At 33.8% G+C, this 15476-nt stretch overlaps 1 long non-coding RNA gene and 1 pseudogene across 1 annotated transcript; one reads left to right on the top strand and one right to left on the bottom strand.

Moving 5' to 3' along the window:
• Nucleotides 1-812: 812 nt before the first annotated feature.
• Nucleotides 813-13241, bottom strand: LINC01674 (long intergenic non-protein coding RNA 1674). The gene is made up of 4 exons (NR_110544.1): nucleotides 13151-13241; nucleotides 12146-12294; nucleotides 2763-2881; nucleotides 813-957 (listed from the first exon to the last, which is right to left on the bottom strand). It is a non-coding gene; the product is annotated as a long intergenic non-protein coding RNA 1674 (long non-coding RNA).
• On the top strand, nucleotides 14089-15043 carry OR4K11P (olfactory receptor family 4 subfamily K member 11 pseudogene; annotated as a pseudogene).

The raw sequence follows: 15476 nt of genomic DNA, 5'->3' as shown, positions 1-15476 counted from the left end.
CATGAGGACTTGGGGTTTGGGTGTGAGAGCCTAATATAAAACAAAATAGTGAATTATGACTGATTATTGTTACTGCTAACACAAGCATGGGATTGAAGTAGCAAGATAAAAGTGAGCATGCTGATGTATACTTCAGAAAGAGCAGAGAATATAATTGGGCACAACTTTGTTATTTTAGAGGTAGGAGGATCACTTGAGGCCAGGAGGTCAAGGCTGCTGTGAGCCATGATCACATAGTTGCACTACAGCCTGAGTGACAGAGCAAGACCCTGTCTCTTAAAATAATAATAATACTAATAAAAATTTATTTTAAAGACCAGGTAGACATCCTTAGATAGAGGTTTTCCGTAATCAGATCCTTATTTAAGCAATATATAGCAGTTAAACGTATGTTCTTTGTGCATTCAAACCTTCAGACTACCAGTGTGCCTTGTGACGCTAACTTTAGCACTAAATTGTAGCTGCTTCTAACACAAAGTTAGGATTATAATAATATCTACTTTATAGTATTGTAAGGATAATAAGGTAATTATTGGTTACATATCACTGCAAGATAACTAAATCAATCTCATCATACATTCACATATGTTCTCTTACCCATTATACATGTTTTTAGAACTTAACCCTCTCTGTCAGACTTATTTTATTACCTATAAAGTTTTGTGAGTCAAATATTATGAGAATATTTTCTAAAGATATACAAATAGAAAACAAACGTAGCAAAAAAATTGATCTAATAGATAATAAAAATGGACCCCTATTAGATTAATAAAGAGTAAAACAAAAGGATATTACTAAATAAGACAAAAAAATTTGAAAACATGGAAGCTCTATTTGGTCAAAAATTACTGAACAACTTTTAGAAAGCAATTTGCTGTATTTATCAAATTATGTCCGTACTCACGAGCTGATAATTGTATTTCTAGGAGTCTATCTTGAATAATTTCTTCCCTAATTCTGTAACATAAAATTAAATGCATATATATATATGTACATTGGAAATGATGAACTGTAGAAAATATAGCCTCATGAAGAAATGGGTAAAGCAAGTCATAAGGAGAAAATAAACTGTTGATTTTCTCAGTGCAAGAGTGTCTTCTGAACACCTACTATCTACCCACAAAAACTGAAAATGAAAATTAAAAAATTAATAAAGTGTCATCTGAAACAGACTGACATTGTTTCCTCGTTCTGAGAAAACGTTGCTTCGCTCACATAATGAGCTAGAATAATTCTGACTTCAAAACTTGAAAAGGGTCATACAAGAAGGAAAAATTATAGGCCAATCTCGCTCAAAAACAAAAATACAAAATTCCTTTAAACACAGAGCAATACAAATTCAGGAAAACAGAATAATAAAATAGTATCCATTTGAGATCACACAGCAATGCAATGTTGATGATGAACTGAATGAACATTTGATAATAATTTAATACAATTCACTGTATTAACAGAATAAAAGAAAAACTGTATATATAATATATATATAGTTACTTCAATAGGTGCAAAAACTGTTTAAAAATAATAATTATTGTTGTAAAGAAAACTTTCATAAAGAATATAAAAAGTATATATGGCTGAAAAGTTTAATATCAGCCATAAGCACACAATGCTATCTAGGAATGACACTGTTATCTACTCCACTTATTTGAAATATCAACGCTCAAGGCAAAAATAATTTTAACAAAAAAGCCAAAAATGTAAACATAAAGTAGAAGGAGGTGAGGTTCACAGCACATGAGGTGAGGAGGTGAGGTTTACAGCACATCTAATTCAAAAGGACTTTAGAGGCCAACTAGCTGAGTGGTTATCAGATTCATCTGATCATCAAAATCCCTGGAAATTTTTTTTCCTTTTCAACTTTTATTTTAGATACAGGGGATAAATGTGTAGATTTGTTACAGGGGAATCTTGTGTGATGCTCACACATGCGATGGGATCCATACTCCAAACCTCACATACTGAGTATGGATCTCACAGGTAGTGAGCATAGTACCTGATTGGTGGTTTTTAAACCAAGCTCCCTTTTCACCCTCTAGTAGTCCACAGTGTCTATTGTTACCATATTTATATTTGTATGAGCTCAATGTTTAACTCGTAGTTATAAGTAAGAACATGCAGTACTTGGTTTTCTGTTCCTGAGTTAATTTGCTTAGGATTATGGCCTTCAGCTCTACCCATGTTGCTGCAAACAACATGATTTTATTCTTTTTTATAGCTGCATAGTATTCCATGGTGTATATTTACCATTTTTATAAATCCAAACTATTATACCACTGATGGACATCTGGGTTGATTCCATGTCTTTGCTATTGTGAATAGTGCAGTGATGAGCATACAAGTCCATGTGTGTTTTTGGTAGAATGATTTATTTTCCACTGAATATATATCCAGTAAAAATGGTAAAAGAAAAAACACCCTACAAAATAGAGTGTTATGCCACCAAAAATGATAAAGTAAGGAGCTAATCTAAAATCCCTCTTCCATAAAGAAATGAAAAATTGACAAAAATTTACAGGGCCACTGTTTCCATATCCCGGAGATTAAGGAAAGGCTTACAGCAACCCAGGGAACATTTATTAAAGAAAAGTAGTTTGGTTCTTAACAGTAAATACTAAAAAGAGCCCGTTAGGTTGAAGTAAAAGTCCTAGACAGTAACTTGAATACATATGAAGAAATAAAGAGGACTAATAAAGGTAAATGCATATGTAAATGTAAAATACATAAATATATATTCTATTTGTAATACTTTTTTCTCCTACCTGATTTAGAAGATAACTTCACAAAGAAACACCTACAAATCCACTTGTTGTTCAGCACAACATGTATAAAGATGTAATTTGTATGACAATAACAGCCCGGAGAAAGGGTAAAAACAGAGCTATATGGAAGCAAAGTTTTAAAAATATTATTGAAATTAAATAGATATTAATCCAAACTTGATTGTTATAAGTTAAGGTGATAATTCTAAGCCCCAGGGAAACCACTAATACAAGATAATTAAAATGATATACTAGCAAACATACGTTTAACATGAAAGAAGACTATAATAAGAAAGAGAAACAGAAAAGATACAAGACATATAGAAACAAATAACAGAGTAGCAGATGCCCTACCTTATTATTAATGACTAGATTAAATACTTCAATTAAAAGGCAGATATAAGCAGAATGGATTGAAAACATGACTTATCTATATGACGCCTATAAAAAATTCACTTTTGATTCAAACATACAAATAGGTTGACAGAAGATTCATGAAAAAAATATACAGTATGCCAACAGCCATAAGCAAAAGAGACTTGGAGTGGATATATCAACATCAGATAAAATGGACTTTATAACAAAACATCTTTTTATATATATATATATATATATATATATATAATACTTTCAGTTTTAGGGTACATGTGCACAACGTGCAGGTTAAATATGTATACATGTGCCATGTTGGTGTGCTGCACCCATTAACTCATCATTTAACATTAGGTGTATCTCCTAATGCTATCCCTCCCCCCTCCCCCCACCCCACAACAGGCCCCGGTGTGTGATGTTCCCCTTCCTGTGTCCATGTGTTCTCATTGTTCAATTCCCACCTATGAGTGAGAACATGCGGTGTTTGGTTTTTTGTCCTTGTGATAGTTTAATAGAGAGAGAAGGACATTGTGTAATGATACAAGCATAAACCCATCAAGAAGATTAAACAATTTTGTACACATGTGTGTATGTGTTTATTTATTTCATTAAATGGCAACAGAGTCCTAAAATACATAAAGCAAAAACTTACGTAATTCAAGGGAGAAATAGACAGTTTCACAATAATAGACAAAAATTTTAATACTTTTAAGTAGAACACTAAGAAGATCAGCAAGGAAATAAAAGACTTGAAAAACTCTGTAAGTCACCTAGACTTAATGTATTTATAAAACACTCCACCAAACAACAGTAGAATACAGTTTCCTCAAGTGCACATGGAACATTCTCCAGGATAGACCATGTATTAGGCCCTAAACCAAGTCTCACTAAATTTAAAAGGATTAGAATCATGCAAACTATGTTTTCTGATTACAATGGAATCAAATTAGAGATCAGTAACACAATAAAACTTGAAAAATTAACAAATAGTGGAAGTTCAACAACATATTCCTAATATGCATTGGACCAAAGAAAGAATTACAAGGCAAATTATAAAATGCTTTAAAATGAAAATGAAAACACAGCATAACAAAACATATGTAAATCTTTGTGACTTTGGATTAGGTAATAATTTCTCTGATTTGACACCTGAAACACAAGTAATCAAAGAAAAATAGATATTTAATTTTATCAAAATTAAAAACTGTTGAGGTTTAAATGACACAATCTAGAGAGTTCAAAGAAAACTCACCAAATGAAAAATTGTGAAGTTATGTCTGACATGGGTCTTGTATCCAGAATATATAAAGAACTCTCAAAAATAATAACTAAAGACAAATAACCTACTTAAAAATGGGCAATGGATTTGAATAGACTTTTCTCCAAACAAGACACGCACATAACCTTAACCACATAATATTGCTCAACACCATTAGTCATTAATAAAATGGAAATTTAAACTATAATGATATACCAATTCACAACCATTAGGATAGCTGTAAGTAATTTAAAAAATGGAAGATAACAAATGCTGTCAAAATTGTCAAGAAATTAAATTCCTCATCTATTGCTTGTAAGAATGTAAATTGGTATAGCCACTCTGGAAATCTGTTTGGTAGTTCCCCAAAAAGTGAAACATATGCCCCAGAAATTCCAATTCTAGTCAGGGTTCATAGGTTTTTATTCCATTTCAGAGAAATAAGATGTTTATCCAAAAACTTGTATACAAGTATTCATAGCAGCAGTACTATCGACAATCAAAACTGAAAACAACCTAAATTCCCATCAACTGATGAATGAATAAACAAAATTTCTATATCCTTACAATGGAATATTACATAGCTATAAGAGGGAATACAGCATTCATACATGCCATAACATGGATGAAACTTAAAAACAATATGCCAAGTTAAGGAAAGACACATTATTATTATGTCATGTCACTTATTAGAAATGTCCAGAATAGGCAATTCCAAAGAGTCAGAAAATAGTTTAATGGTATCCAAAGGCTGCATTTAGGGAGAATGGGAAGTAAATGCTAATGGTTGCAGGGTTTCTTTTGGGGTTGTGGAAAATGTTTTAGAGTTAGACAGTAGTGATAGCTGCATAACCTTGTTAACATGATAAAATTTACTGAATTGTACACTTTAAAAGGATAAATTTCATGGTAAATGAATTATAAATCATTTTAAAAGAGAAGTAAACAATATTCATGATTTTTTTCTTTAAAAGAAAACAGTGGCCGGGCGCGGTGGCTCACGCCTGTAATCCCAGCACTTTGGGAGGCCGAGGCGGGCGGATCACGAGGTCCGGAGATCGAGACCATCCTGTCTAACATGGTGAAACCCTGTCTCTACTAAAAATACAAAAAATTAGCCAGGCGTAGTGGCGGGCGCCTGTAGTCCCAGCTACTCGGGAGGCTGAGGCAGGAGAATGGCGTGAACCCGGGAGGCGGAGCTTGCAGTGAGCCGAGATTGCGCCACTGCACTCCAGCCTGGGCAACAGAGCCAGACTCGTCTCAAAAAAAAAAAAAAAAAAAAAAAAAAAAAGAAAACAGTATGAACTTCCACTTCCAGCCATGAGGTACTACTGGATTTAATTTCCCTTCATAATCAACAAGAAAACTGGATAAAATATACCACTACATTGTGTTTAAGCATTAGTCTACATGCAACACAAGACTAAGATCCTTGAGAGAATAAAATATAAGATTAATATTATGATCAACCTAGTTTCCTCCTTGGAGGTACTTTCTACATTTCAGGGCAGCAAAGGCAATTCAAAGCAGAGTACAGTTGACCTGATGAGTTAGAAACAGAAAATGGAGTTCAGAGAGCTGGCGATGGCCAAAATCTACATCCAGGACGACAACAACAACAACAACAACAACAAAACAGAAAAACTCTTCAGAAGTTTCTATGGGGCCCACTTGAGTTGTTTATTGAATAGTAAGATGAATACACAAAGGCTAAATCTTCTAAAATCAAGAAAAAATTTTGTAGAGCTATAAGCTGAACTGTGTGAGTTTACTCAGGAGACGTATGATGTCTGATCAGCCAGAGAAGACAGTCTTTTAAAAATACCCAAGACTGGCCGGGTGCGGTGGCTCATGCCTATAATCCTAGCACTTTGGGAGGCCGAGGCGGATGGATTACCTGAGATCGGGAGTTCGAGACCAGCATGACCAACATAAAGAAACCCCATCTCTACTAAAAATACAAAATTATCCAGGCTTGGTGGAAGATGCCTGTAATCCCAGCTACTTGGGAGGCTGAGGCAGGAGAATGGGTTGAACCTGGGAGGTGGAGGTTGCGGTGAGCCGAGATCATGCCATTGCACTCCAGCCTGGGCAACAAGAGTGAAAACTCCATCTCAATAAAAAATAACATAACATAACATAACATAACATAACATAACATAACATAACATATAAATAAATAAAATAAAATAAAATATAAAATAAACTAAAAAATAAAATAAAATAAAATAAAATAAAATAAAATAAAAATACCCAAGACCTTAGTCGACCCTGGGCAATTCCTTAAATACCAGATAATTCCTTAATACTAAGGCTAAAGTAGCTTAGAGAAGCCTACTCTAAACCCACCCTAAAATATTTAAAAATAAAATGACATAATTAGCCTAGCCCACAAGTAACTTTGCGACTGAACAAAGACTACTACTTTTGAATAAAAAAAGAAAGAATCCAGCACTCAGAAATATTTTTAGCGTCCACCATTGATAAATGTAAAAAAGCATAAAAATATACATCATAATGAGTAGAATTGGAAACTGATTCAAATAAGCTCAGAAATTACCAAGATGTGGAAATTAGAATAAAATAACTTTAAGAGAGCTGTCATAAATATGCTCAAGTATATAAATAAAAAATATAAACAGAATGAAGAGAGGAATGGAATATATTAACAACATCAAGATTTCGTGAGGTGAAAAATGTTAGACACCACAAAGGAAATGATCAGTAAACTAGAAGACACAGCAATAGAAAATCTCTAAACCAAAGTACAGAGACAAAAATGTGAAAGGAAAAACTGAACAGAGTCACAGCAATATGCAAGAGAATGCCAACTGGCCTAACACGTATGTAACTGGAGTTCCAGAGGAAAGGATAAAATGGGGACCAAAATGTTCTCAATTTGATTGAAAGTTATAATAAAAAAAGTCAAGAAGTTCTACCAACCTCAAGCAAGATAAATCAAAAGAAAATCACAAGAAGACATATCACAATTCATATGGGAAACTTGTCATACAGAAAATATCTTACGGTAGCCATGGATAAAAGAACAACCATATACTGAAAAACCAGGATTTGAATAACTGAATACTTATTATAAAACAGGATTAGAATTGTTAAAAAAACAGAATGAAAACAACAGTCAACACAATCATTTAAGTATGTAAAATATCCTTCAAAATGAAAGTGAAATGAAGACTTTGTAAGTCAAACAAAAGCAAGACATATCATGGTTGATATAATTCTACCACAAAAACGGAAAGTAAAGGAAGTCCCAAATTAAAAAAAAGTAGCAAGGTAGTAGATATAAACCCAACATATCATTTACATTATATGTAAATAGTATAAGAAGTCTACTAAAAGGCAGGCATTGCTAGAATGAACAATACAAGCAAAAGCCAACTATTTGCTGCCTACCTTGAATCCACTTTAAATATAAAGACACAGACTACTTAAACATAAAAAGATGAACAAAGATATACAATACAATGCAAATAGTAATTATAAAGGAGCTAAAGCAGTCACATCAATATCTGACTCTGTAGATTTCAGAAGAAAAAATATAATCAAAAGTAAAGAGAAGCATGTCATATAAGGGGCTTAATCAATCATGAAGACATACCAATCCTAATCTGTTTGCACCTAATTTCAGAGTTTAAAATAGAATCAAATATTTCTTCTTATCAAATCAAATCCTCCACCTGACTTGAAAAATAACATAAACATAAAAACTTACAAAAAATGTTTATAGCAGTTTTATTCATAATCACCAAAAACAGAGAAAAAGCAACCAAGAAGTCCTTCAATATACAAATGGATACACAAACTGTGGTAGAAATACAGTGGGATACTATTCCATGTAACAAAGAAAGAGCTATTAATCCATGCAACAACAAGAATGAATCTTGAATGTATATTGCTAAATGAAAGAAGACAGTTGAAAAGGCTACACATTGTACAATTTCATTTGTCTCATGTTCTGGAAAACACACATCTGTAGGCATGGAAAACAGAAGAATGGTTTCCAGGTGTTTGAGGAGGGGAAGAGGTTATCTGTAAAGGGGTGCACAGGGGAGTTTTGATCATGACACATCTAGACTGTATGGTACTAGAGTCTTGAGTTTTGTATTATGAACCTAGAGTCCCATTAATGCTCAAATTCTTTATTTGAACTCAGAAGTATAAATGTTTGCAAAATTATTTGGAGTCTCTTTACTAGAATCTACTCTGTAGGATACAGTATCTCTATTGTATTAATAAAGCAGCTTTCACTTTTTTACTCTAAAATCCTTGCCCTAGAAACCAAGCACATGGCTTTTGTGAAGCTGTCAAAATGCCAAGGTGTTTGCCGTGTAATATGCACAGTCACATGATGACTCCCCATCAATTTTTGACACTCCCAATAGTGCTTTTCTAAAGCTCTTCGGAAACATAAAGAATTAGCTAACAAAATTACTCATTGCTTTTTAAAAAAAGTGTTACATCTCTTACAGAACAAAGCATTTCCATTAGGCCTGCTGCTTCTTCCATTTGTGAAATCCTCAAGGTGATGCACCATAATTATTGTGGGCAAACAAATTGTCTCACGTAATTATCCCTGATTAAGGTATTTCTGCTATCACAACTCTCCTCTGGGTCTCTTGGTCACTACCGTCCAGTGACGTCAAATTCCTAATTAGCTTGTAATAATCGTGATGGCTTTTCTTATATCAGTGTGCTGAGTATACTGATACTGCAGAGTGTAAAAGGTGAAGACTGAAGTCTGGAAAAGACATGGGTTCTCTATCTTTGTCCCTCATCCAATGGCTCCTGGTGAATATTGTTTTCCTGGGTAGGTGCTGATATTTTAAGGCCAGGGACAGAGATTGAGTCAGAACAGAACAGAGACCAGAGACAGTCAATTCTCCTCCGTATTGTTTTAAATTAATCTTTGAATATTCTATGCCCATTTTACCTATTTACCGTTGTCCCAATACCTAACTCTGAAGAGTGACTGCTGCCATCACTTTACTAAAACCAGCTGTTTTATGCTTTTGATTGGATATACTTTAATTTCAATATAATATTTTATAATTATTCTTATCTTTGAATTGACTTACACAGTTTGGATCATGTTTTTCAAAAACCGGAGACTGCATTTGGGAGAGGGAATTCTACTCTTTTTTTGAGGAAACACAGAGCACCTGGGAGGGTATGTAATTTGCTTACAATTATAAAGTTATTTAGTGAAAGATAGAATTGGAAAATATATTTTCTATATCCTAGGCTAATACATGTATTTAATTTTTAAAAATTAATATATTCTTTTATCTCAATAACTTTTAGGATAACAAGCAGTTTTTGGTTACATTGATAAATTATATAGTAGTGAAGTATAAGATTTTTAGTTCACCTATCACCCACAAACACAAGTAGTGTACATTGTACTCAATATGGCTAATACATTTTTGATAGTCCATAATGTCTTTGGCCAGCATCCATTGATTTGAACTTCAGGTTTTTAAAGCTTATAGTTTAGAATGCTCCTTGTTAATCTATGACTAGAAAGTAGTCATATAAACCACTAATGAAATTTAACATTTCTTGCTGGATATATATTCTATTTGTGAACAAAAGCATATCCCATGTATAATTCCTTAAAATATATTTTAAAATATTACTACTATTATGGTAAATTCATTATATCACTACTGCACAAGATGTTTGATTTAGTTATATAATGATTATATATATCTGTCAGAAGCAAGTAAAAAGTCACCTACACTTTGAATCGAGGGAAAGTCAGATGAAAGGAAGAAAACCCTAAATCTTCCCTGATGAAATTTTTGATAAAATAATGCAGTATCTTACTACTTCAGAGTCTTTACAGATCCCAAATCATATAAAAATCGCTATTATTGATGGTACTTCCTAAAACATTCTCCAGTTTTATAGATCCAGTGAGGCTGAATCCTTTGCAAAATTGTGAAGCAGAAGATTTTGTTTTCAGCATTTCTTCTTTTCAGTCTACTCTTTTTCTCCTTTCAGATTTCTGACTGCTCCAAATGCTCCTCTAGTTGCCTAAGACTTAGATTAAAATACAGCATCCAGACCTGTCTCACCTCCTTGAAGACAACTCAGCTACAGACACCCTGAATCCACTTCTGTCTTTAGAAGTAAATTCTTTATGACTTATCTCCTGAGGGATTGTTCTGTTTTCTTAGGAGATGTGGAAGTAACAACGAAATTCTTCCCAAGCATTAATGACTATAGATTATAGGATAGCTCCACACTTTCCATTTCATCTTAGGTAAGTAAAAGTGTTTTGTCAGCATCCTTCTGAAGACCATGCACCAGCATTTGTCTCCAATATAGTCTATAATAGAGAGACTGCTATTTCTCTGATCTGCATTTGGAGTGGGAGAGGGGTTCAGGGGAACAGCAATATTGGCAAGTTTGTGAAAGATACCTATTTGAACTTGTAGAGTTTGGTGGCCCCTGTAAACGATACCTATTTATTTCACTTCATCTATCAGTCATAATATCTGAGATAGAAATATTGAGGCAAGATTCATTTGACAGAATTTAAAATAGGAGGGAACTGAGATTTGCTGAGCACAGCCCTGTATACATGCATTAATCCATCTTCAAATTTTCAAGAATTTTTTTTTAAAAAACGTCTTTACATAAAACATCTACTTATTGGAAACTCATTCTTGTGTGAGTCAGACCACATAATGTAAAATTATGAGAAAATACTTCTTCTGATCTAAAATAATACATTACTAAGAATGCATACATATACTTAGTCAGTACAGTTGGTTAAAGAATTTTCATTTATATAATCTTTTAAGAAATATTTTTAGTGTCTCTTTGAGGTTAATAGTCTCAAGATTTAATATTTGATGATAATAATCCCTGAATGGCTAAAGGAACTGCTCAGCATCACACAGTTACCCAGTGATACAACACAGAACATTTTAAAATAATAGCTTTGTTTTCACTACAGTACAGCGATTTTATTGGGAACAAAAATACAGTCCATTTTATCTAATAGGGAATGTACTAGGGGTAAAGGGAAGTGAATTCATCAGCTTGTCTAAATAAGGAAAGGGTTATTAATATTAGCAAATAATTTTTAGGGAGACAAGTTATAAACCTAACTGCCTCATCACCAGTGCATAGCACAGTGCCTGGGGAAAAGCAGGCATTTAAATTTATATAAAGTAAGTGAACTAAAAAAGAATGGATTTAGGTAAGAAACAGGTTCAGAGTTCATGTGTTCTACCACTTTAATCTTATATACTAAGAAATTTCTTGATTGAATCAATTTGCCCAATGTTTTCTCCATGAAAAACAGGGTATTTTCCTTTACTGAGCACCTGAAGAAGCCAATGAAAATGGAACAATACAGCTCTGCAGAAGAGTCAGAAAAGCTATCAGGAGGATGATTCTTATGACTGTCTTTCACATAGTTGGATTATGTGTCTTAGCCTAAAGACACCAGGAAGTTTCTGTGCTCAGAAATGCCTCCTGATGCCCCTCTCTAATGCAGCACTGGAGGGTCTCCATAGGACACTCGTTCCTTGTGCTTATTGCTTTGCTCTTTCTGATGGAGTACCTATGAACTCCTATTCACTGATTTTGTTAGATTTTACTTCTATTCATGCCTTAGGGATTCAATGCAGTATTTACGTCACAGGATTGAAGGGTCAGGACTTCTGGGAAGTGAGAAGAAAGAGAGATTTGTATAATTTTTTTCGGTAGCCTGCCTTACCTTCAAGCTCCACTTGTTAAACTCTTCTAAAAAGCCTAGAGCCATAGTTTTGATATAATCTGTGATAATACAAGAGTTCTCCCTTATCCATGGTTTTGTTTTCAGCAGTTTCAGTTACCTCAGGTCAACTGTGGTCCAAAAATATTAACCTATTTTGAGAGCGAGAGAGAGGAAAAAAAGAAACACATTCACATAAATGCTATTTCAGTATCTTGTTATACTTTTTTATTTTATTGTTAGTTATTACTGTTCATCTCTCACTGTGCCCAATTTATAAATTAAACTTTATTTTAGGTATGCATGTATAGGAAAAATATAGCTTATATAGGAATCAGTACTATCAGTGGTTTCAAGCATCCACTGGAGGTCTTGGAACACATCATTTGCAAATAAGGGAGAAAATTTGTATTTTTTTGGGAGAATTGGAGATTTGAAATACAGAGGTGAGTCTAAATTTGGTTTCTGGGAGTTAAAATTATTTATCACACGTTCTGTTCTTATAAATAAACCCTCCAGTCTAACCCAAAGAGAGACTTAGCAATTTGCAGCTATGATCTAAGAAGACATTAATATCAAAAATTGCAAGTGGTTAGAAATGAGTAAAATAAAAGACATCCTCTCCCAAGACCTGATTAAGATGTAGAGAAAGATTCTTCAAAATCAGATAATGTAATGCTCCTTTAAAATTCACATTTTATTTTTTCTTATTTACCATAAAACTTTTCTAAGTTCTAAATAGCTTCTACAAATAAAAATAACATAAAAGGAAGAAAGTTCTGATAACATAGAATATAGAGTAACTGAGTAGAAAAGAAAAATCTTTTTTTTCTGGTCTGATTTCCTTAGTAATAAGTAATATAACTTATTAGTTATATTAGTATTTATAGTAAGCAATATAACTTATACGTTTTTAAGCCACGTCACATCAAATGAAATATCAATCATAGCTCAATAAACTGTCTATGGTTAGTAACACCAATGGCTAAGTTTAAAGACGCTTCATACCTTCAGGGATTAATTGAAAGGAACCAGTGTGCTAGATTTCATGATAAAGTAGAACTCCATGAAAAGCTGAATCATAAAAGAGTTCCAATAATATTGGGGCCTTTCAATTTTGCCAGGGTTCTGTACTTTCGTTTACATAATGTTTAACTGTAGAGAAGAAATAAGATATAATCACTTAAGGCAATGATTTCTCCTGTGAGCTCTCTTACACAAATCTAATGCTGTCTCTCTTTCTATTTTAATTTTCATAATTATGCAACGTATGTATACAAAAGAGAAAAAAGCAAAAGTTCATATTTCAGTAAGTTTTCATAAAGTAAACACTCCCATGTAACTATCAACCACATCAAGAAAGAATATTACCAGCACTTCAGAAACCCCTCCCATGACCACTTCCTGTCCCTTAAGGATAACTGCTATGAGGTTTTTCTACACCTTAGTTTTGCCATTTTTGAACTTCATTTAAATAGACCAATACAGTGTATACTCTTTTGTGTCTAACTTTTTTAGTCATCAAGTTTGTGAAATTATCTTCCTCTGTGGCAGATGTTCAAAAAATTTTTACTATCATTTACTTTAGAAAAATTGGTTTAGATTTTGTCTCTGTAGACTTTTAGACGGGATTTCTGTAGTGTCACAAAAACTTCAGATGCTCAAATTCATTTTTAAATTGTCGATTTTATTTCTTAAATTAATGTATTTAGATATCCCAGTTGGTTGAACATCTCCTTGACAACTCTCCCCTTTAACCCAATCTTCCACACTTAGCTGTATAACTTGTAATAACTCATGAAAACCCAGACACATACATAGGAATAGGAATTGGAATTCTGAAAAGTTTAAGTGTAATTAGAAAACCAAACCCATGCTCACTTCATTAACTGATCTCTGTTTCTCTCCTATTCATGTAGCTGAAATTAAGTCCCTTCCAAAATTCAATGAATGAGACAAATCATTCTTGGGTGACAGAATTTGTGTTGCTGGGACTGTCTAGTTCAAGGGAGCTCCAACCTTTCTTGTTTCTTATATTTTCACTACTTTATCTAGCAATTCTGTTGGGCAACTTTCTCATCATCCTCACTGTGACCTCAGATTCCCGCCTTCACACCCCCATGTACTTTCTGCTTGCCAACCTGTCATTTATAGACGTATGTGTTGCCTCTTCTGCTACCCCTAAAATGATTGCAGACTTTCTGGTTGAGCACAAGACTATTTCTTTTGATGCCCGCCTGGCCCAGATTTTCTTTGTTCATCTCTTCACTGGCAGTGAAATGGTGCTCCTAGTTTCCATGGCCTATGACCGTTATGTTGCTATATGCAAACCTCCCCACTACATGACAATCATGAGCTGCTGTGTATGTGTTGTGCTCTTCCTCATTTCCTGGTTTGTGGGCTTCATCCATACCACCAGCCAGTTGGCATTCACTGTTAATCTGCCATTTTGTGGTCCTAATAAGGTAGATAGTTTTTTTCTGTGACCTTCCTCTAGTGACCAAGTTAGCCTGCATAGACACTTATGTTGTCAGCCTACTAATAGTTGCAGATAGTGGCTTTCTTTCTCTGAGTTCCTTTCTCCTCTTGGTTGTCTCCTACACTGTAATACTTGTTACAGTTAGGAATAGCTCCTCTGTAAGCATGGTGAAGGCCTGCTCCACATTGACTGCTCACATCACTGTGGTCACTTTATTCTTTGGACCGTGTATTTTCATCTATGTGTGGCCCTTCAGCAGTTACTCAGTTGACAAAGTCCTTGCTGTATTCTACACCATCTTCACGTCTATTTTAAACCCTGTAATCTACATGCTAAGAAACAAAGAAGTGAAGGCAGCTATGTCAAAACTGAAGAGTCGGTATCAGAAGCTTGGTCAGGTTTCTGTAGTCATAAGAAACGTTCTTTTCCTAGAAACAAAGTAAACTTATGAGACTGTTACCACTTTAGCCCTGTCTCCATACACTTACAAGTGGATTCACTGTAATCTTAAAGCAAATCAACTTGGCCTGTGGGAAAGGTCAGTTGATTGATTCGAAGCAAACTGTAATGATAATAAAAACTCATGAAATAAACTTTAGTGATTTTAAGTATTCTTTCTCCATTGTATATTTTTTAAATTTCCTACTTTGTATTCTTTATTTTAAAACTTAAGATATAGACTTTGATGACATTGAGAAAATGACATTGCCTTATAAATAAATGGTTAATATACTATTATCTCTCCCTTTGAAAACAGTACCACTCACACCAACTTTGGAGTAATGATAGGTGCATATCTCCAAGCCACAGAGATAACAGATCTATTTATAAGTATATGATACGTGATATACAGCA

This window comes from Homo sapiens, chromosome 21 (genome assembly GCF_000001405.40).
Source record: "Homo sapiens chromosome 21, GRCh38.p14 Primary Assembly".
Taxonomy (NCBI): Eukaryota; Metazoa; Chordata; class Mammalia; order Primates; family Hominidae; genus Homo; species Homo sapiens.
The sequence above is the reverse complement of the archived record's forward strand: the minus strand, read 5'-3'. Positions and strand labels throughout refer to the sequence as shown.